The 23,945-nt window shown below is 40.5% G+C and overlaps 1 protein-coding gene and 1 long non-coding RNA gene across 2 annotated transcripts in view, besides 1 other annotated feature; both read right to left on the reverse strand.

Annotated features, from left to right (window-relative positions):
- The window catches only part of RNF103-CHMP3 (RNF103-CHMP3 readthrough), a 217,693-nt gene that overhangs the window by 121,318 nt on the left and 72,430 nt on the right, over window positions 1–23,945 (reverse strand). The window lies entirely within an intron of this gene.
- Window positions 3,529–7,767, reverse strand: LOC124907853 (uncharacterized). Its single transcript, XR_007087122.1, has 2 exons — window positions 7,115–7,767; window positions 3,529–3,741 (listed from the first exon to the last, which is right to left on the reverse strand). It is a non-coding gene; the product is annotated as an uncharacterized LOC124907853 (long non-coding RNA).
- Window positions 8,065–8,588: an enhancer, noted in NCBI's record as "H3K4me1 hESC enhancer chr2:86859935-86860458 (GRCh37/hg19 assembly coordinates)". NCBI's record gives its function as "activates a minimal SCP1, AML or CMV promoter by ChIP-STARR-seq in primed H9 embryonic stem cells {active_cell/tissue: H9 hESC(primed)}" and the evidence as "EXISTENCE:reporter gene assay evidence [ECO:0000049][PMID:30033119]".

Raw genomic sequence — 23,945 nt, forward strand, 5'->3', positions numbered from 1 at the left:
ATCGCGCCACTGCACTCCATCCAGCCTGGGTGACATAGCAAGACTCCGTCTCAAAAAAAAAAAAAAAAAAAAAAAAAAAAAAAGAAAGAAAGAAAAGAAAAAAAAGAGTCACATGGACAAGCATGCGATACCTGGTTCTGTGCTTATAAATTTAACCGGGCCGAGCGTACTCTTTACGTCAATCTCTGTGTCAGTCTTGAGGGAGGAAGGAGTTGGGTTCATAAACTGAACAAGGTTGGCTTTGACCAGCCCCTTTTGATAAGGAAGGAAAAAAAAAACAGTAATTACGGGGAAATGTTACTATTTGTGCAAAACTGTCAACTATCTGAAACTAGGGGTGAAAGTTTTAGGAAGAAAGGGATCATGATCCCAGGTCATGGAGCAAGGGAGGAACGGGAAGCAAAGAATGGACTGTGAGAATGTAGCCTCCGAATGGTGCCCATTTAAAATAAAGTGAACAAGGGCATTTCAGTGCCGGGCTAGTGGGGGAGGAGTTGGAAGGGGATGGGCCCAGGGAGCATTGAGAATCAGAGGAGGAGGTGTAGGAATGTCCAGCCAGCAACTGGACACTGCCCCTGTGTCTTTAGCTTCCATGTGGCTTTGTTCTCGTGGCTGGCAGATCAGTGTGGGAGACTGTGTTAAACAACTGATTCTAACAAGCCTGGTTCTGAAATTTCAGAATTCTTGGGCATGTCTTGGTGACCCTTTGATGATATTGTCCAAACCTTGACACTGAAGGTGATGTCCCTCACCTCAAAGGAATGTATGTACTCGCTAGTGAGGAGAGACTGACCCAATCTCAAAAATACAGAATAGGCATGGGCAGGGAAAGTTGGTGTGTGAGCTGAGGGTGGAACCAGTCAGGCCAGAGTTCCAAATTGGAAAAAAACATTAGAGTGTGGGAGGGACTAGAAAGAAGGAATTAAAGAACTCTTTTTAAATTTCTTGTTTGTTTCAACTGCCTCCCATCCCAACCCCCTTGCTTTGTTTCATTCATGGTTAACCCACAGGAGGGATAAAAGCATTGATAAGAGAACACATTGGGTCATCTGAATAAGAGAGTATGGACAAGCACATTCTATGTTGGTGGGGTATACAATGTGGGTTAGAAGCCCCCCATAAAATACAAGCTCTTTGGCACAGTAATCTCTCTTCAGGAAATTTATCTTGAGGAATAATTGGACATGGGCACAAAGATGTGTGTATAGAATTTCGTCGTTGTTGCAGAGTTAATGCTGGAAAGAAAAAAGGAAGAACCCAAATATCTAGTGACAGAGGATTGATCAAATACAGTAATTCAAATGATGAACCATGAGGCAGCCACTAAAAAGAAAAATGTAGACACACGGTTATGGACATGGAACCATGTCCAAAATATAGTGTTTGGTGAAAAAAACCAGGTGACTGAGAAGTTTGCGTCATATGATCCTATTTTTGTATCTGTATTACAAAAAGACAGAGATGTATCCACTAAATTGTTAGGTGTATTCACCTCTAAGTGATGGGATTTAGAATATTTTTTCTTTTATGCTATATCTCTGTTTTATTATATTTTCTGAAATAATCATGTATTACTTTGTAATCTAAAAAAAAAACAACAACAACAAAACAAAACAAAAAAACCCACTAGGACTGTTTTCCTGGTCCGGAGGTTTAGCGGCAGCGGTTCATCCTCTGGGACTCCAAAGATGACAGGGGTTGGAGGTGTGGGCTGTCTTCCCATGAGATTGATTTCAGTTTCCACTAAGCCTAGCTGGGCAGACTAATTAGAATTTATTTTCAAAAACAGAAGAATGTATGAATTATTCATTTTCATAATCTGTTTTTCTAATAGGCTATTAATCTGGGTTATTGGTTTTATATCTCAGATTCTGTTCATATGTAGGATGGCTTAAATGCTTTATCATTTGATATTGTGGCAAGAGTGTGCAAACTGCAATTAAAGGGCCTGGTCCAGTGGACTAGTGTCACCTTGGTAGACAATCAGAAGACCTCCCTAACCTCTTTTTTTTTTTTTTTTTTTTTTTTTGGGAGTTTTCCTCTGTTGTCAGGCTGGAGTTCAGTAGCACGATCTCAGTTCACTGCAACCTCCGCCTCCTGGGTTCAAGCAATTCCCCTGCCTCAGCCTCCCAGGTAGCTGGGACTACAGGCACGTGCCACCACGCCGGGCTAATTTTTTGTATTTTAGTAGAGATGGGGTTTCACCGTGTTGGCCAGGATGGTCTCAATCTCCTGACCTTGTGACCTGCCTGCCTTAGCCTCCCAAAGTGCTGGGATTACAGGCATGAGCCACTGCGCCCGGCCCCTCATTTTTATTATCTATAAAATGGGATAGGATGCTTACCCTATGAAGCTGTCGTAAGGATTAAATGAGTGAGTGATTGTAAAAGTGCTTTGAAGTACACATTGCTTGTAATTAATTTAAAATGAAGAATTAGTTTTTGGATACATTCTAATGTACAGAGGGTAAAAATTGAAAAAAAAAAAACCAAGAATCGGTTTTTGGAAAAAAGAAAATTAAAGTCTTTGACTGAGCTTGATGAACCAGAGTTATTTTATTTAAGGTCCAAAGAGCCTTCTCTTTTTATTTCACTGTTATCAAAATATCATGCACACATAGTTTAAAAAATGAAGTAGCATTTCAGGGCTACATACAAAACTGGGACAACTTTGGGAGTAAAAGGGGCAATGGTAATGAAATTATACCAGACTAGGGAGGAAAAACTGAGAATGTCCCTGACAAACCCTGCTTATAAAAAAACACATTGGCCAGAAGAGGTGGCTCACCTGTAATTGTAGCATTTTGGGAAGCCAAGGCAGGAGGATCACTTGAGCCCAGGAGTTCCAGACCATCCTGGGCAGCATAGTGAGACCCTGTCTCTACAAAAAAATACAAAAAATAAAAATAAACTGGGCATGGTGGGCACCCTCCTGTAGTTCCAGCTACTCAGGAGGCTGAGGCGGAAGGATTGCTTGAGCCCAGGAGTTTGAGGCTGCTGCAGTGAGATGTGATCCCGCCACGGTACTGCAGCCTGGGTGAGAGAGTGAGACCCTGTCTCAACAAAACAAAACAAAACAAAAGACCACATCCCCTGCTTTTCCCTACCATCTCTGATTCCCATTCCTCAGAGACACTGCCTTCAATTATTTTAGCAATTTTTTCATGTTTACCTCTATATTTTCAAAGAATAGGTTTTTACTGCTTTTCTTGCTTTTTCCATTTTATACATTATCTATTGATTTCTTACTATGGACGATGAGGAATTCTGTCTTTTATGCCCTGTATTCATACACCATTTCCCTCCCCTCATTCCCAACATGATTATATTATATATTCATCTTTATATTAATATGCCCATATAAATCTTGTTCATAGCTGAACCATGTAAGAAACCTTTCTTGTGCAATTGTTCATTGCCTCTGGAGTTAATAATTAACTCAAATTTTGGTTTGTTCTATTTTCTATGGCCCCAGCCACTTATTCATCCCCAAACTCTCTGAACTCTAAGATTACTCAAACAGCTAATCTATTAGTTTCATATTTTATTGGAAATAAACCTTCTGTCCTCAGTCCTCCCACTCCAGGTCAGCCTGGCTCCTGTCCAGAGCCACCCACAGCTGTTGTCTCAGGACTTCCCGTCTCTTCTCTTTTGTGCTGGATTCTCTGTTTTCTTGATCCCATGGTTGCACTTTAGTTCTTTCATTTTCTTGTTTGCATGAACACCTCCACGTCTACAGTGGCTTAGTAAGAAAGTGGGCACGGAGATAAACTTTGGATGCCCTACATGTCTAAAAATTCCTTTATTTTACCCCCATTAGTTGTATGGGTTTTTTTTTTTATCAAACTTGGAGAAGACTTAACTTGCAAGAATATTACAAAAAGTGTCCTTACCAATTCACCAATTGTTAACCTTTTGCCCTATTTGTTGAATTACATCTTTTCTCTAGATTATAAGCGCATACTTTTTTTTTTTTTGTGAACCGTTTGAGAGTTAGTTGCAGTTATCCTCATGTTGGATGATAGTTTGGCCAAATATAGAATTCTAAGCTGGACATCATTTTCCCTCAGAAGTTTGAAAGCACTGATCTATTAGCCTTTGGCTTCTATTGTTGCTGTTGGAAGGCTAGCATCGTTCTGACTCCTGCCCTTTAAAAGTGACTTGTTTGTTCTATCTGTATGTTTTTTGAACTTCCTTTCATCTTTGGTGTTCTGAACTTTTATGATATACCTTAATCCAAGTTTCCTTCCCTTCATTATGTTGAGTACTTTTCAATATAGCAACTCATGACGTTCAGTTCTGGGAATTTCTTTGATAATTTCCTCTGTCCATTTTCATTAGCAAGATGTTGGAACTCCTAAATTGATCCTATAATTGTATTCTCTTTTTTCTCCAGTTTTTCTTTCTTTGCCATTCATTTCACTTTCTAAGAGATGTCTTCGCCTTTATCTTTTGCTCCTTCTACTAAATTCTTTTTTTTTAGAGACAGGGTTTTGCTCTGCCACCCAGGCTTCAGTGCAGTGGTGCAATCATAGCTCACTGCAGCCTTGAACTCCCGGGTTCAAGTGATCCTCCTGGCTCATCCTCCGAAGTAGGTGGGACCATAGGCATGCACCATTGTGCCCAGCCAATTTTAAAATTTTTCTCTTGTTGAGATGGAGTCTTTCTATGCTGCCTAGGCTGGTCTCGAACCCTTGGCCACAAGGGATCCTCCCATCTCAGCCTTCCAAAGTACTGGCATCACAAGCGTGAGCCACCATAACTGCCTAAATTTCTAATTTTGTCTATACTCCTTTTTCATTTTCAAAAGCTCTTTCTTGTTACTGGGATGTGCCTTTTCTGTGGCATCCTATTCTTTTTATGTATGCAATATGTTTATTCTCCTATCTTTCTGAAGATATTAAGTATAGTGGTCCCCCCTGAGGTTTCTTTTGCCCTTTGCAGTGCCTCTGGATTCATTTTCTATTTGTTTGCTTTTGACTTTGCCTTTCACATTAGAGGCTCCCTTTAATTGCTCAGTAATTCTTGGGTCTGTATTCACAGGTCCATAAACTTGAGGCACTGAAAAGCTCATTAGAAATTCTTTGAGAGTGAATGGGGCTCACTGTAGGTGAAAGAGAAGAGCCCTACCCATTTCACTGGGAGGATCTATCTATAAGTCCTTTCTCCACGCTGTTCTCTTTCTTAAGAGAGGAATCCTGCCTAGAGAGTTCAAGTATGGCTGCCAGCATTCTGGGACTGAGTGGGAAAAGGAGCTGGGGTTATCAAGTCTTAGCCGTTAGGCTTGTGCCTAATCCCATGGTTTTCAGTAGGGTGTCTCATCTCTTCTCCCTTGCTTAGCTCTGAGCTAGGAGAGCCAATCCATTCACTTCAGAGGATAAACCTCCCACCTTCCACTGGGCTAGGAGAGGGGCAAGTGCCTGGCTGCACAGGGCCCAACTGTACTTTATGAGACTTTGGGCAAATCCTCGGTTTTGTGCCTCACCCTCCACCCTGGGCTTCTAAAGCGCTGTGCTTCCCATTTCTGACTTTTCCTGGGTTCTGTGGCACTAACTGGTTAGTGTGGCAGAGGTCATGCCACGGATCCAGCATGTCATTGTGTCTTCCCAGGAGTCTAAACGGACCATACCTTATGGCCTTTCTTGCAGTTAGGTTGGGTAAGTGACTGAATTGTAATTAGTGGGAGTGATGCCCACCCCTTTCAGACCTGACCCTAAAAAACAGCCTCTAGCCCTTTCCAGACTGTGTGGCCAGGGAGTGGGGTGGGCCCAGAGCACAGCCCTGAGACCTTTGCTCTATAGCAGGCCCTTTAAACTAGGGATGAAAGAGTTGGGCCCTGGGGCCCCTGGGATTTGTTCTCATCTTTAGCTGAGATATACATATCGCTCCCTCACACACATGTACACATACATACATACATATATATTTGCTATAGAGCCGTCTGCATCCAAGACGCAGTCAATTCCAGAGTACCAGGGGAGTAAGGCCCGGGCTCCCAGGAACCTGAGAATTGGGAGCATAGGAAAAATAATCCTTCACTACCTTGCTTTCTGTTGGGGCAAGGAGAGTGGCAGACAGAGGCAAAGGAAAAGACTCTATTGTCTTTACTTCGCTCCCTAACTGCATTATTAAGAACACATTTTGGTTTAAAAAAAGTGTAAAAATGGCTAGAAATGGTAAAAAAAAAAAAAAGGCTAGAAATCTGCATCTTACTTAGATAGATGGGATGGGTCGGTTTATTATCTTAGATCTGGCTGATAAACACAGCTAGGCACAGATTTTAGGCAGGTAAGCAAGTGACTTTAAGTCTGTCTCCTGGCCGGGCATGGTGGCTCATGCCTGTAATCCCAGTACTTTGGGAGGCTGAGGCGGGCGGATCACAAGGTCAGGAGATCGAGACCATCCTGGCTAACATGGTGAAACCCCATCTCTACTAAAAATACAAAAAAATTAGCTGAGCGTGGTGGTGGGTGCCTGTAGTCCCAGCTACTCTGGAGGCTGAGGCAGGAGAATGGCGTGAACCCAGGAGGTGGAGCTTGCAGTGAGCCAAGATCATGCCACTGCGGTCCAGCCTGGGCAACAGAGCGAGACTCCGTCTCAAAAAGAAAAAAAAAAAGTCTGTCTCCAGCATGTAGACATATTCGATATTTCATTTGGGGACATAAATATTAATTTCATTAGCGACTAATAATAAACAGTATGATATGGGTTTCCCTTGACCTAGGAAAGTTCACCCTTCAGCAGTTCGCCCTGGGGGCTCTTTGCCAGTTCCACAACTGTTACAAGGTGAAGCCAGGAGGTGCACACACACACACCCTGCCACCTACAGTCCCCCTGGATTCTTCCCTCTCAGCCCAAGCTCCTCTTCCCTTTTCTAGCCCTTTCCTCCCACATTTCCCACACTTACACAAGCCCACTTCCGGGGAGTCCCCTAAACAGTTAAACAAAGATCATTGAAAATACTTATAATCGATTTCTGTATTCCCAGACTGATTTACATTTTGAAAGCTTACCACTGGGCAGTATGTAATTGTATCATTTATAGTTGATTTAAATATGGCATTTATGGTCAATAAAAAAGGAGAGTTAAGATTAAGCCGTCAGCACGCACCTACCTACTGTATCGGTGCTGTGAGAAAATCCAACTTGCCACAGAATACCTTCTCCAGGCCCAGCCCCTGCTGCGATTGTGAGCCTCTTTCCTGTCCTTCCTGTGTGGAGATGACCCTGTTGACTGACTCACCACAGCATTGGTCCCAAGCTGCTTTTCCCAATGCATTAAGGCCATTATCTGCAGGAATGAGCAATGCCAAGTGCTTTATTCCGAGCTCTATCTGGCACTCGAGCTGGTGTCTTCAAAAGAAGGACTGCCTTTTCACCAGAGAGATACCTGTAGAAACTGGCTTTCAATAAAGCTGAAAGGAATGCACCCTGGGGCAGCTCGCTTTGTACATTGCCATCCCGATAATAAACAGCTCTTCTACTCTGGCCAGCCAGCCTGCCAGTCAGCTTTTTGAGTGATTTCCTTGAAGATGAGGTTGCCAAAATGAGGAATACACAGCGTCAAAACAGAACATTACAGGACTGCAGTTATGGGAGGTGATGGTTAGTCACACAGTTTAATAATCTCAAATTCCTGATTTCTCATTTCCCTTTTTTCCACCACCTTTTCCCATGCACAGTCAAAAAATTATATCAGGGCTGGGCACGGTGGCTCACGCCTATGATCCCAGCACTTTGGGAGGTCAAGGTGGGCGGATCACTTGAGGTCAGGAGTTTGAGACCAGCCTGGCCAACATGGTGAAACCCCTTCTCTACCAAAAATAAAAAAATTAGCCAGGCATGGTGGTGCATGCCAGTAGTAATCCCAGTTATTAGGGAGGCTGAGGCACAAGAATCGCTTGAACCCGGGAGGCAGAGGTTGCAGTGACCCAAGATCGTGCCACTGCACTCTAGCCTGGGCAACAGAACAAAACTCTGTCTCAAAAAAAAAAAGAAAAAAGAAAAAAGAAAAGAAGAAATTATATCAACGGTTGGCAGCTTCCTCTGCAGAAAACAGTCACCAGTGCTATCTTCTGCCAACACCAGTAACAGCAGGCAGTAGGACTCCCTGAATAAACATTTTGAAGGCAAAGGTAAAGAAGGGTGGAATAAGCAAATAAGAAGTCACCATTCCTCCTGGAGTAAACCATTCCCTCCTCTGATTGCCTGAAGCTAACCATGAGACAGCAGGACTGGCTACATAATTTTCCAGCCTAGTACAAAATGAAAATGCAGGCCCTTGTTCAAAAGGCTAGGAAGAAAAAGTGCCATTAAAAGTGCTGAAATACAAAGCTTTTCCTTTCTTTCACCATCTATCTTGACCTGTCGGTCATGATGTGCTTTTAAAATTTGCTCTTTAATATAGTTCGCCTTTGGGCAGGGGATACTCCCAGGGCAAGTGTGAGTCCTCACAGGCTCCGGGGTCCCCCTCCCTCCAGCCACAGGCCAATGCTTGGTGCCGGGCCAACCTGCAGCAGATGGTTGGCCCTGAAGGGATTGAAACCTCAGTGCCAGGACAAGCTCAGTGCCTGGATTGGGGGTGGGGCAGAGGCGAGTTGCCCCCTAACAGTTGTGGTGCTGCCAGGCCCTGCTGCAAAGAGACCCTGGATGCCCAGCCTCAAGTCTCCCCGGGTGCAACTCCAGGTCCCTATTGAAAGCAGAGGATGACAGCAGAATGTTACCCCCCAACCCCCACCTCTGCCAGACACAACATAGTTGCCATCCCAGTTAAAGGCAGGCAGGGGCCACAGTGGGGAGAGCAGATGTGGAGAGGGGGTGGCTGGGCAGGGTCCCAGGAACCAGGCAATGGAGAACAGGCTGCCAAGGACCTATTCTCAGGGAGGTGGGGAGCTGGCAGCAGGCAGAACCGCATGTAAGCTAATGGCACGTGCTTCAATGTCCATTGGACTTCACTTGCAAAACACAAATTCAAAGATTAAATTATTAAGAATTCAAGACACAAATTCAAAGATTAAATTATTAAGAATATCAAGCAACTGCAGAGCATTAAACTCCAAGCATGCAGGGCTCTTCTGAACCTGGGGCCATGTGCAGCTGCACTGTTCCCATACCCATGAAATCCGTCCTCTGCAACCAAATTATTGAAATCAGTGAAGGTCCAGAAAATGTGTGTTCAGAAACGTATTTGTAGCATTTCTCATATGCTGCCTTGTACATAGTCTTATTTCTATACTACCCTCTTTCCTTCCTGCATGCCATCTGCATGGCCTAGCTCCTGTGCTTTCAGGCTAATCTCTAGCATGTTAGAGCTCCCCTCTCTAACCCTGATCTGTAAAATGGAAACAATAATGATGATCTCATAAAAGTGTTGTGAGGACCAAATGAAGTAAAGCTTAGAAGCCATTTAGCCCAGAGCCTGGCACATGTTTGTTTGTTTGTTTTTGTTTTTGAGATGGAGTCTCGCTTTGTCACCCAGGCTGGAGTGCAGTGGCGTGATCTCAACTCACTACAACCTCCGCCTCCCGAGTTCAAGCTATTCTCCTACCTCAGCCTCCTGAGTAGCTGGGACTACAGACGTGCCCCACCATGCCCAGCTAATTTTTCTATTTTTAGTAGAGATGGGGTTTCACCATGTTGGTCAGGCTGGTCTCAAACTCCTGACCTTGTGATCTGCCTGCCTCGGCCTCCCAAAGTGCTGGGATTATAGCGTAAGCCACCGCGCCCGTCCAAGGCATATGTTTTATACATGCAAACACACACACACACACACACACACACACACACACGTGCCCACATACACTGATAGGAATGCATCTCTGCTATGACACATAGGGACAGTACCAGAGTACACAGAAGACACTTAATAAGTCTATTTTTAGACAAAAGAACACAGGGTGAACATGTTTTAAGTGTCAATCTGGCTAATGTATATTTTAAATGAAATGTAGTGCAAATGGAAGTCTGTTAAGTTACAGAGAGACTAGAAAAGGATTTTTCAAAAATTAAAGTCATTATGGTAGAGTAATTCTGAAAGTAAGCTCAATTTAATTAAGCACATGGCAAAAATAAAGTCTTAAAAAGCTTGATAAATATAATTTTAGTATGAAAATTAGGTCTTCTAAGGAAAGATGAAGAAAATTGGAATTGGTTAGCATGAAGAAAAGAAAGAGAAAGAGAACTTCAAGATAGCGAAATTGCTCTCAATTAAAAGGGGGAGATTAAAGTGTACATTTTGTGGACTGGGGTGGTGGCTAACGCCTGTAATCCCAGCACTTTGGGAGGCCGAGGAGGATTACTTGAGCCCAGGAGTTTGAAACCAGCCTAGCCAACATGATGAAACCCTGTCTCTACTAACAACACAAAAATTAGCCCGGTGTGGTAGTGCACACCTGTAGTCCCAGCTACTAGGGAGGCTGAGACATGAGAATCGCTTGAACCCTGGAGGTGGAGGTCGCAGTGAGCCGAGACTGTGCCACTGCACTCCAGCCTAGGCGACACAGCAAGGCTCTGTCTTAAAAAAATAATAAACAGTAGATTCTGAAACAGCTTTCCTTGCATGTCTAAAATAAAAGTATTGCATGTAAAAAAATAAATAAAATAAAGTGTACATTTTGTTACAAAAGTAATTCATATTTATTATAGAAGCATTAAAAAATACACATAAGCAAAAAGAAGAAAATGTAAAATAGGCATAATCCCACCACTCTCATATAGCAAACAAGTTCATATAAACTGAATATCCTACTGTAAATATAGGTTTGATAACCTCAATAGTTCTGGGCATTTTCATTTTTAAAAATATTTGCCAGTTTTGCAGCTGAAATGGTATCTCATTGCTATTTTAACTTAAATTACTTCTTAGAATAATAAATTACTTATTTCCTCATATGTTTATTGTTTACACATATTTTTCTTTCATGAATTGCCCATGTCCTCTTAGACCTTTGTTTTTGTTTTGTTTTGTTTTGTTTTGTTTTTAAGACAGGGTCTTATTCTGTCACCCAGGCTGGAGTGCAGTGGTGCAATCGTAGCTCACTGCAGTCTTGATCTCCTGGGCTCGAGAGATCCTCCCACCTCAGCCTTCCGAGTAGCTGGGACTACAGTTATATGCCACCACGCCCAGCACTTTTTTAGTTTTATTTATGTATTTATTTATTTTTGCAGAGACAGGGTCTTGCTATGTTGCCCAGACTAGTGTCAAACTCCTCACCTCACACAATTTTCTTGCCTTGGCCTCCAAAAATGCTGGTATTACAGGTGTGAGCCACCGCACCTGGCTTAGACCATTTTTTATATCCTAAATGGATATAACAAACATCCTAGTTTGTTTTTCTCTTAAAAAGTTATCAACATTTAAAAGAACATATAAAAAGTACAGAAAGTAACACAGCAGGCACAGTGTTTCTATGTGTGTTTCAGAAAAAGGGGCCTGCTAGGGGTGGGAGAGGGACTATATTAACACAATCGGCCATGTGGCTAGAAAAATAAGCAAAATGTCTTTTTTCCATGCTGACGTGCAAGAATGTTTTTGTACATTAAAGATGCTAACCCTTTCACATGCTATGAAGCTTTGGCCTGGATATTTCTGATCAATTCATCAGGGTGACTACTAAGAACAGAACAAAAGGAAATTTATTTAAATAAAAATAAACATTTTTAAGCAAAGCACAGTGGCACATGCTTGCAGTCCCAGCTACTTGGAAGGCTGAGGTGGGAGGATCCCTTGAGCCCAGGAGTTCAAGGCCAACCTGGGCAGAAAAGCAAGACCTTGTCTCTAAAAAGTAAAATAAATAAATTAAAAAAAAATTTAGTTGGATATGAAAAATAATTTCTTGACCACGAAGAGAATCAATTCAGGAAAAATTAATTTATCATTATGGAGTCATTCTCTGATCCACCATCCCCTGTCTATAATTTACATTAAACTTCATGGGCCAGAAGACAGGGGCTAGACCAAATGGTTGTTCATCCTTTCTTCTAGTTTAGTTTCTTTCTACGTTTATTTTCTTATATTCCAAGAAGTAGTAATTTCTAAAAGATTTGGGTTACCTGGTTAATCTTATTTAACTTTTGATCCTCCCCATCACAAGCAAAACAAGATCAATCTTTGCAGAAGTTTTGAGTCAGGGCTGCTAAGTCTAATGTTATTTGGTGGTTCTGCAAATGAATGTCAATTCTATTATGTAACAATTGGAACAAGTGCTTTATTTATTAAGAAACAGGGCCAGGTGCTGTGGCTCACGCCTGTAATCCTAGCGCTTTGGGAGGCCAAGGCGAGTAGATTGCTTGAGCTCAGGATTTTGAAACCAGCCTGAGCAACATGGTGAAACCCCGTCTCTACCAAAAATTAGCCAGGTGTAGTGGTGTGTAACTGTGGTCTCAGCTACTTGGGAGACTGATATGGGAGGATTGCTTGAGCCTGGGAGGCAGCGGTTGCAGTGAGCTGAGATTGCACCACTGCACTCCAACCTGGGTGACAGAGTGAGACCCCATCTCAAAAAGAAGGGAAGAGAAGAGAAGAGAGGAGGGGAGGGGAGGGGAGGGGAGGGGAGGGGAGGGGAGGGGAGGGGAGGGGAGGGAAGGGAAGGGAAGGGAAGGGGAGAACACCATGCTTACTGCAGAGTGTGGTAGTCATTAGTACTATATACAAATATTCAACTATTCTTCCAAACATGTGGTGAGAATGTACTCTCCGGCCTCCCTGGAGTTAGGTGTGGACATTTGGACTTTGACTGGCCAATGAAACATGAGAAGAAGTGACATTTTTCACTTCTGGGCTGAAGTTAAAAAAAAAAACACTTTATTTCTAAATGTGCACTTTATTGTACGTCAATTATATCTCAATAAAAATAGATATATGTGTATATATATATACACACACGCTAAAGTTTACACATAAATTTTATATTCAGATACATAAGCTTTATATATATAAACTTTACAGTAAACTACATGTTTAAAGTCTACAATTTTCTTTTTTTTTTTTTGAGATGGAGTTTCGCTCTTGTCACCCAGGCTGGAGTGCAATGGCGCAATCTCGGCTCACTGCAACCTCTGCCTCCCGGGTTCAAGTGATTCTCTTGTCTCAGCCTCCTGAGTAGCTGAGATTACAGGTGACTGCTACCATGCCTGGCTAATTTTTTGTATTTTTGGTAGAGACGGGGTTTCACCACGTTGGCTAGGCTGGTCTCGAACTCCTGACCTCAGCTGATCTGCCCACCTCAGCCTCCCAAAGTGCTGGGATTACAGGCGTGAGCCACTGTGCTCGGCCCAAGTCTACAATTTTTACATGTGTATACACGCATGAAATCCTCACTGCAGTTGAGACAGTGAACATACCTATCACCCCCAAAAGTTTTCTCATAAGCCATTGTAATCCCTCCCTCCCACACCATCTCATCTCCCATCTCTAAGCAGACACTGATCTGCTTTATGTCACTATGGATTGTTTGCATTTTCTAGTTTTATATACATTTAATCATATAGTATGTACTCTTTTTTTTAAGCAGGCTTCTTTCACTCAGTATGATAATTTTAAGATTCATCCATATGTTGTATATAGCAATCACTATTTTTATGGCTGAGTAGTATTCCATTTTACAGGTATGCCATAGTTTATCCATTCACCTCTTGATGGACAGTGGCGCTATTTCCAGCTTTTGGCTATTACAAGTAAAGCTTTTATGAATATTTGTATAAAAGTGTTTATATGGTTATATATTGAATTTCCTCTTGAGTAAATATCCAGGAGAGGAATGGGTGGATCATGCTGTCATGATCCATGAACATTATATGTTCAACTTCTTAAGAAACTGCCTAATTGTTTTCCAAAGTGGTTCTACCATTTACATTATCACAAAAATTCACAAGAGTGCAGTTCCTCCACATCTTCATAATGCTTGGCATGTCAATCTTTTAAATTTTAGCCATTCTAATAGGTGTGTAGTGTTATCTCATTGTGGATTTAATTTGCATTTTCCTAATGGCTAATAATGTTGAACACTTTAGTATGTGCTTCTGCAGAAGAGATATTTGCCTAATCTGAGGTCACAAAGACTTTCTCCTATGTTTTCTTCTAGAAATTGTATAGATTTATGTTTCTAAATTTAGGTCTATGATCCATTTTGGGTTAATCTTTGCATGTGGTGTGAGCTTGGTTCTAAGTTCATTTTTTCCCACGTGCTTATGCAATTGCTCCAGCATGATTTGTTGAGAAGGCTATCCTTTCTCTACTTCATTACCTTTGCACCTCAGTCAAAAATCAGTTGCCTATATTTGTGTGGATTTATTTATGTACTTTTCATTCTGTTCTGTTGAGTTATTTTTTAAACTTTATATCAATTTCATACTGTATTCATTAATGCTGCATTATAATAATTCTTGAAATCAGGTTGTGTCATCCCAACCTTGTCTTTTTCAGAGTTGTTTGGTTATTCTAGGTTCTTCGTATTTCCATAAAAATTTCAGATCCAGCTTGTCAATTCTGGAAAAAAAAAACCCTTCTGGGACTTTGAGTAGGATTGTATAGGATCCATAGATCAATTTGAGAGCAACTGATATCTTTATAACACTGAGTCTTCTGATCTATGAGCAGGGCATATCTCTCCATTTGTTTAGGTCTTCTTTAATTTCTTTCAGCAATATTTTGTAGTTTTAGTGTATAGGTAGTTTGCTAATTTTGTGAAGTTTATCTCTAAGTATTTCATTTTTGTATTTTCATAAGTGATATTTTTAAACATTTCAATTTCCAATTATTTGTTGCTAGTATAGAAAAATATATTTGATTTTTTATATTTTGTTCTATTCTAGAATCATGCTAGTCTCAATTATTAGTTCTAATTGATTTCTTTGTAGATTCTATGATATTTCCTACACAGTCATGTCACCTGCAATAAAAATAGTTCTATTTCTTCCTTTTCAATCTTGATGACTTTTATTTCTTTTTCTTGCCCAATCACACTGGCTAAAACCATTGGTACAATGTTGAATTTAAGTGCTAATAGCAGACATTCCTGACTTGTTCCTGGTGTTAGGGGGGAAGTATTTAGGCTTTCATCATTAACTATGATGGTTGCTATAGGTTTCTTAGCTGCCTGTTTTCAGGTTGAAGAAGTTTCCTTTTAATTTGAGTTTTCTGAGAGTGTTTATCAGGAATGAATGTTTAACTTTGTTAAATGTTTTCTCAACATCTATTGAGATAATCATATAATTTTTTTTAGTTTGTTAATATGTTGAATTATATTGATTAACTTTCAAATGTTAAGCCCTGCATTCCAGAGATAAATCTCACTTGGCCATATGATATATTGTCCTTTTAATAATTGTTGAATTCAGTTTGTTACCATTTTGTATATGGCTTATTTATGAGAGATATTGGTCTATAGTGTTCTCTTCCTGTAATGTTTTTGTCTGATTTTGTTTTAAGGGTAATCCTGCCCTTGGAGAAAGAATTGGGAACTATTCCCCTATTTTAAATATTTTTGAAGAACTTTGTGTAGAATTAGTATTACTTGTTTTCCGTAAGTGTTTGGTAGAATTCACCCATGATGTCTTCTGGGCCTGGAGTTTTCTTTGTGGTAGGTTTTTGAACTATGTCATTTTCTCTAATAAGCATAGGGCTATTTAGACTATTTATTTCTTTTTGAGTGAGTTCTGGTAATTTGTGACATTCAAGGAAATTATTAATTTCATCTAAATTGTCATATTTATTGGCTTAAATTGTTCATAATATTCCCTTATTATCCTTATAATATCTGTAGCATCTGAAATGATGTCACCTCTCTTATTCCTCTCATTGTCATTTGTTTATTCGTTTTCCACTAATATGTCTAGCAACATTTCTTATCAATTTTATTGATTTTCTCAAAGAACCACCTTTCGATTTCATTGATTTTATCTATTCTTTTTCTATTTTCTTTTTTTGAGATAGAGTTTCACTCACCACCCAGGTGGGAGTGCAATGGCGCAATCTCGGCTCACTGCAACCTCCACCTTCAGCAATTCTCCTGCCTCAGCCTCCTGAGTAGCTGGGATTACAGGCACCCGCCACCACACCCAACTAATTTTTGTATTTTTAGTAGAAACAGTTTCACTATGTTGGCCAGGCTGGTCTCGAACTCCTCACCTCAGATGATCCACCCGCTTCAACCTCACAAAGTGCTGGGGTGAAGACGTGAGCCACCATGCCTGGCCTGTTTTTCTATTTTCTGTTTCATTAATTTTGCCTTGATCTTATTTTTTGTTTTCTTCTGCTTAGTTTTGATTTAATTGTCTCTGCTTTTTCCAGTGCCTTAAAGAGGAAGTTGAGGTTATTTATTTGAAAACTTTCTTTTACTGTAAGTGTTTGGTGCTATAAATTTCCCTCTAAAAAATGCCCTAGCAACATCTCAAAAGTTCTGATTTGTTATGTTTTTCTTTTTAAAAATTTTTCAGCTGAATTTAAAATTTGTTTTTTTTTATTTTTACCCATTCAAAATAATTTTAATCACTTTTTAATTTATTCTACCTATATGTTATTTAGAAGTATATCATTTAGTTTCCAAATATTTGGGGATTTATCTAAAAATATATGTTATTAATATCTAATGTTACTCCATTATGGTCAAAGAACATACTTTGCACGGCTTGAATCTTTTTGAATGTATTGAGACTTGTTTTATGACCAGAATATGATCTATTTTGGTGAATGTTCCATACACACTTGAGAACAATATGTATTTGACTGTTATTGGTGTTTGATAAGTGACAATCAAGTCAAGTTGGTTAATATTATTTACATCTGCTTTATCCTTGCTGAATTTCTGCAAACGGTATTGAAATCTCCAATTCAACTTGTGGATTTGTCTACTTGACACTATCAATTTTTGTTTCATGTATTTTGAAGCTCTGTCACTAAGTGCATCATTTTGATTATCATTATGAAATGAACCATTATCCACAGTGATATCCTTTGTTTTGAGATCTACTTAGTCTGAAACTAGTGCAGGTATTTTAGCTTTCTTATGGTGCATCTTTTTCTCTTCTTTTACTTTGAACTTAGATCACTTGGTTAACATGGTGTCTGTCAGGTTTTTTAAATGAAAAGTTGTTACTGTTCTCTTTGTAATTAGTAAGTATCTGTGGAGAGATACTTAAAAACTATCCTGTTTCTCTTTTTTATTTATTTTTTGTGTGTGTGTGAGACAGAGTCTTGCTTTGTCACACAGGCTGCAGTGCAGTGGCTCGATCTCTGCTCACTGCAACCCCTGCCTCCCTGGTTCAAATGATTCTTGTGCCTCAGCCTCCTGAGTAGCTGGGATTACAAGTGTGTGCCACAAGGTTCGGCTAATTTTGTTTGTATTTTTAGTAGAGATAGGGTTTTGCTACATTGGTCAGGCTGATCTCAAACTCCTGGACTCAAGTGATCCATCCACCTGGGCCTCCCAAAGTGCTAGGATTACATGTGTGAGCCACCTGCCTGCCCCTCCCCCACTTTTTTTTTTTTTTAAGACCAGGTCTCACTATGTTGCCTAGGCTGGACTCAAACTCCTAGCCTGAAGTGATCCTCCCATCTCAGCCTCCTGAGTAGCTGGGACTACATGTGCCTGCCACCACACCCTCATTATACTTTGTCCATGAATTTTAGCATTCTTTGCTAAAATGATGCTTGCCTGCAACAGTTACTATTGTGGTATTTGCCAAATGGTGATTTTCTGTCTTCATCTTTCTATCTACATTTGTTAATTGGAATTCTCCTTCAAGGAAAAGCTGTCTATTCTCCTCCAATTATTTACTTATTCAATTTTTATATTAGTATGTACTCAAGGGTATTTATTTTATTCTATGATTTACAATCCATTACTATTCTTATTTTTATTGGTCACATTGTCCCAGATTTGGCCACTGGGAGCACCTTCACATTGACTCATCTATGTTTTTCAATATTCCCCTGGGATTTTTTAGCATTTTCTTACTTTCTTTTTCCAGAAGATGTTCTAGGCTTTTGTAACTTTTTGCCCTAACTTTGGAAAAAGACATTTCTCTGAGAAGCCCTGGTTTCCTTTAATGGAGAATGGAATTTTGAAACCAAGATCTCGATTCTAGGTGTGCTCATTGCTTCTAGGGTGTCATTGCTTCTAGACTCAACAGAGAGAACTAAGAAATGTATGTATGTTTGCACATACATATGCACACATCTACATTTATTTCTGTACTTATCTATTTGCATATATGTTGGAAACCAACAGTCCACTCTGAAACCTTCACTGCCAATCCAACACTATCAAGTTCATTCTAAACTCCCTGTTTCCTTTTTCCCTCTTCTGACAGTGAGAAACCTGGCTGTCATTATCCATAATACATTTATTTATTTTTGTAGTCCTAGAATACCCATAAAGTAGTTTTAGAATTGTTCATCTGTTTCTCTGTGAAAAACAAATTTATTAATTAGAATGCAATATTTGTGTTCCTTTTACTGTCAGCCTTGCAGTAGCCAGTCAAAATACTCTTTCCCAGTTACTTAGGTTAGTTCTTTTCTTTCCTACCACCTTCAGTACTGTTATTCATATGTATTACAGCTAGGTTGATTTGTTATCATTTGTATCTACTTGCATTTCCTCTGACACTTGTGGCTGATTTTATTTACGTATTTAGTTTAAAAGTTAAGATACAATTCACATTCCATAAAATTCACCATTTTAAAGTATACAATTCAGTGGTTATTAGTATGTTCACAAAGTTAGTCAATCACTATCATTTTCTAATTCCAGAGCATTTCATCCCTTAAAAAGAAACTGATATGGTTTGGATCTGTGTCCCCACCCAAACTTCATGTTGAATTGTAATCCCCAGTGTTCGATGTGGGGCCTGGTGGGAGGTGACTGGATCATGGGGGAGGTTTCTAATGAATGGTTTAGCACCATCCTCTTGATGCTGTCCTTGCAATACTGAGTGAGTTCTGTGAGATCTGGTTGTTTGAAAGTGTGTACCACCTCCCCAGCCCTTGCTCCTGCTCCGGCCATGTGAATATCTGCTCCCCCTTTGCCTTCCATCATGACTGTAAGTTTCCTGAGGCCTCCCCAGAAGCCACCAGATGCCAGCATCATGCTTCCTGTACAGCCTGTGGAATCATGAGACAATTAAATTTATTTTCTGATAAATTACCCAGTCTCAGGTATTTCTTTCTTTCTTTTCTTTTCTTTCTTTTTTTTTTTCTTTTTGAGACTCAGGGTGGAGTGCAGTGGTGCCATCTCAGCACACTGCAACCTCTGTCTCCTGGGTTCAAGTGATTCTCCTACCTCAGCCTCCTGAGTAGCTGGGATTACAGGCTTGTGCCATCACGCCCGGCTAATTTTTGTATTTTTAGTAGAGACGGGGTTTCACCGTGTTGGCCAGGATGGTCTCGATCTCTTGACCTCATGATCTGCCCGCCTCGGCCTCCCAAAGTGTTGGGGTTACAGGCATGAGCCACCACGCCCAGCCAAGTCTCAACTATTTCTTTATAGCAATGTGAGAATGGACTAATACAGAAACCCAGTACCCATTTGCAGTCGTTCCATATTACCCTTCTCAACCCCCCACCCCTAACACAGCTTCTGGTTACCACTAATCTGCTTTCTGTCTCTGGATTTGTCTGTCTGGATATGTTATATATTCTTCATCTAGCATAATGTTTTCAAGATTCTCCATCCTATAGAATGCATCAGTACTTCATTTCTTATTACATTCTTATTATATTTCTTGAATAATATCCCATTGTATGAATATACCAAATTTCATTTAGTCTATTTATTTTTTAGTTTGTGGAATCTCAACATGGTTCTAAAAGTTAGAACTATACAAAAAGGTATAATCAGAGAAGTGTAACTTCCCCTCAATCCTTTATCCTGTTCTTCCTCCTCCATTCTTCCCATCCTGGTCCCATCCGCTCTCTGCAGTTAGTTTCTGATGCATCCTTACTTTATTTCTTTTTGCAAAAATAAGATCATGTATACTTTCTTATAAACCTTTCTTTTTCACATGAAAGGTAGCATACACTCAACACTTTTCTTGAACTTTAGAAAGCAAAATTTTAAAATTTGTGAGTTGTGATAGGAAAATTATAACTTGGTGTTAACTGGTTACTGTCTTATTCCTCAGAAGCCCTCACAGCCAACCAAAGCTGTTGTCATGGTCTAGTTCCCAGTTTAATTCAAGTTGACAAGTGTTGGTTGAACACTGATTACAAATGCTCAAGCCCTCGCTTCTGAATGGATTACAAAAATAAGGAAAGCAAAGTGCCTGCTTTCAAGGAATTTACAATCTAAACATGAACTACTAAAACTAGGAAAGACATGGTAAATTCAAAAAGGGGATTAAACAAAGAGCAATGGGCATTCAAAAAAGGGAAAAATTAGGAAAGGTATCACCTAGGAGGTGGCACTTGAGAAGGGTCTTGACAAAAACAGCTCAATTTTGACAGATGGAGATAGTAGGGGCAGTCCTCCAGAGTCCTCCAGAGGAAACAGCATAGGCTCTGAGACAGGAAAACACAGTGTATGCTTGGGGAACATCATTTTGACTGGAGTTTTGGGAAGTAGTGAGAGATAAGGCTGTAAGGATAGCTTGGAGAATATTTATAAGACCCTGAAGTCTTTATACTTAGTTGGATAGGCATTTGCATGCCATTGACATTTTTTAGAGCAAAAGAATCTTTTCTTTTCGCCTCCTACCTTCAGGCCCTGGTGGGGCTACATCTACCATCAAGGTCTGGAAAATTTCAAGTGGTTGGATTACATCACTAACTCCCTTGCTTAAAACCCTTTACTGGTTCCCACTGCACTTAGGATAATCAAAATTTCTTTCCAGGCTCTGCATGGTTTGCCTTCTAACTATCTTATTTCCTATCTTTCTTTCCCCCCACTTTGTTCAGTACATTCTGCTTCCATCAGCCTCCTCTCACTTCCTCAAACACAACCAGGGTCTCTTTGCTCTAGACCTTCCCTCTGCCCTGAACATTCTTTCCCAGCACTTTGCATCCATGGTACAATAGGCAGTTTCTAAGATGGCCCCACTCACCCCTGCCTCCTGGTATTCACACCTTTGTAGAATCCCCACCCCTTGAGTACGGGTTGGATTTAGTGACTCGCTTATAGTGAATAGAATGCAGTGAAAATGATGGGTTACTCGAAGAAGGCAGCTCCCATTCAGGCTGCCCTCTCTCTCTCACCTTGCTGGCTTGCTCTGAGGGAAGTGCCTCCTACCTATTGTCAGCTGCCGAATGGACAGGCCCATATGACAAAGAACTGATGTTTCTGGCCAACAGCCAGTGAGAACCCAGAGCCTGCCAATAGTCATGTGGGTGCAATTGGAAGCCCATTCTCCTGCAGGACAGCCTTGGGCTGACTGGAGATCCAGCTAATACCCAGAATTTAGCCTCATGAGAAAGAAACCCTGAGCCAGACAAACCCAGGCAAGCCATGCTCTGATCACTGACCCACAGAAACTGTGAGATAACAAATGCTTGTAATTTTAAGCTGCTACATTGTGGGATAAGTTGTTATGCAGCAATAGGTAACAAACATACATGGCCGGCTTGCTCTCATCCTTCACCACTCAGCTCAAGCATCACCTTCTCAACAGCCTTTCCTAACCACCCTGGCTAAAGCAACTTTCTCCCTGTCTTGCTTCTTCCCCAAGTTACTTCCTAATATGGTGCCCGGTTTTCTTTCTTTCATAGCACTTATTACCATCTTTAATTCCTTTACTGTGTATTATCTGACATCCCACAACTGGAATGTAAACTCCTAAAGGGTAGGGCACTGGACTGGCTAGTTCACTGCTCTAACCCCAATACCTAGAACAATACCTGGCTCAAGTACTTGGCGAGTACATGGAAGGGAGTAATGTTTCTGAATTACTTTCTCCAGAAATTTCCTGGTGTTCAGAAAAGCCAAATCCGATGAGGCGAGCATAATCTATGCTTTGATAAGAACCTTGACAGCCAACAAGTCCTGGGGCTGTTTTCAGGTTTTAGCACAAGGCCTGCTTTTATTTTTTGGATCAGGAAAGTTACTTGCCAGAGCCACAGAGCTAGCAAGTGTCACAGCTGGGATTCAAACCAAGGTCTACCTGAGTTCAACGCCCAGATTGCCACAAAAAGAATATAAATAAATAAAATAAAAATACTTAAAGCAAAATAGAAGAAAGGAGACAATAATCAAGGAGATGGGGGAGGAGATGAAAACCACATACTGGTCCATGGACAATAGAAGTGGAAAAAACCTGGGACCTTGGGCTTGTTTAGAAGCCTCCTGGGTATGAGAAGGATCACATAGGGAGCAGCCTAACTGTGAGTGAGATGTGTCATGGTAGAAGCATTCACACTACCTTGGTGCCTGTTACCAACCCCTGTAATACTGGAAATATTTGCATCTCTTTCACATGCAAGTGTCAAGTAATAATCCATAGATAACTTGCAAGCACTGCATGAATTCCACCTACGGCCATTGTTTGTCACACTATATCATAATACATATTTATCACAATATAGAACATCCTTATTCTATTTCTCCAGCTTTCAGCTGGACATTTATGTTTACAATTATTCTTCTAGAAGCAAATAAAAGAGAGAAGAAACTAAAGGTGCTCCACATAGATAATTGTTACTGATGAAGACAATGACAAAAATGTTGGGGACATTTTTTCCTCAAATTTAATATAAATAGATTGAATTCAAACAGAATTTATTTAAAGATCACATGTGCATGCTACTCTGAGATGACCCATGTAGGGGAAAATTCTCAATTGTGGTATAAGGCTGATGTTTGGAATTATTATTATTATTATTGAGACAGAGTTTTGCTCTTGTTGCCCAGGCTGGAATACAATCGCGTGATCTCAGCTCACTGCAACCTCCACCTCCCGAGTTCAAGCAATTCTCCTGCCCTAGCCTCCCGAGTAGCTGGGATTACAGGCACCTGCCACCACGCCTGGCTAATTTTTGTATTTTAAGTAGAGACAGCGTTTCACCATATTGGTCAGGCTGGTCTCGAACTCCTGGCCTCAGGTGATCCGCCCGCCTCGGCCTTCCAAAGTTCTGGGATTACAGGCATGAGCCACTGCGCCCGGCTGATGTTTGGAATTATTTTAAGGTGTAGGTTTGTTTGCCAGCTCTTGGTAAGTTGAATGTGCCCCATCCATACTAGGCCTACTCTTTGCTCAGCCACCATGGTGTCTTGAACTGGATGTGTCTTGAACTGGATAGCCATGGAGAACTATGGTGTCTTGAACTGGATAGCCACGGAGAACTACCTCAAAGACTTTCCCAGGCATGCACAAAATTCTGAATATCAGAATCACCACTGCCTTTTCATTCTTCATAGGCCATATCAAACCCAACACTTCATCCCACAGAGTTTTCCGTGGAAATGTCTCCCACACATGACCTTGCCTTTCCATTGACCTTTTACTTTGTCACACTTTAGCATGCCTCCAAACCATTTCCTCGGAATACCTTTCTGTTGCTCTCCATTTGTCCATATCAGAACCATTCTTAAATTTGCAGGGTTTTTTTCTTTCTTTTCTTTTCACATGACAGTTTTTATTATTTTTATGCTGGAACTTGTATAATCAAGAGTTGTGCTCTTGAAGATAGTCAATCATCTTGGTTGAATTTACATGACTTTCTTTTTTTGAGAAGTTGTTTCAGAACATGCCTTTATTGTATTATTTCACACACCTTCAGCAGAACCTCATCTTGCTTCTTTTAGGGCAGCTTTGATTTCTCGAAATAGCCAAAATTCATCTGAAATGAAATCTACCAGGTAGAACTGGTAAACCAAAGAGATACCTAGATTTTTTATGCTGATGGAGATGTGGCTTTGAAATGATAACACTGATTTTGTATTTGGATTTTGAACTGGCCTTAATGACTGCGAGATAAACATAATGGCAGACTTATTGGTTTATATGATTTATAGGTTTATA

This window comes from Homo sapiens, chromosome 2 (assembly GCF_000001405.40).
Source record: "Homo sapiens chromosome 2, GRCh38.p14 Primary Assembly".
Classification (NCBI taxonomy): Eukaryota; Metazoa; Chordata; class Mammalia; order Primates; family Hominidae; genus Homo; species Homo sapiens.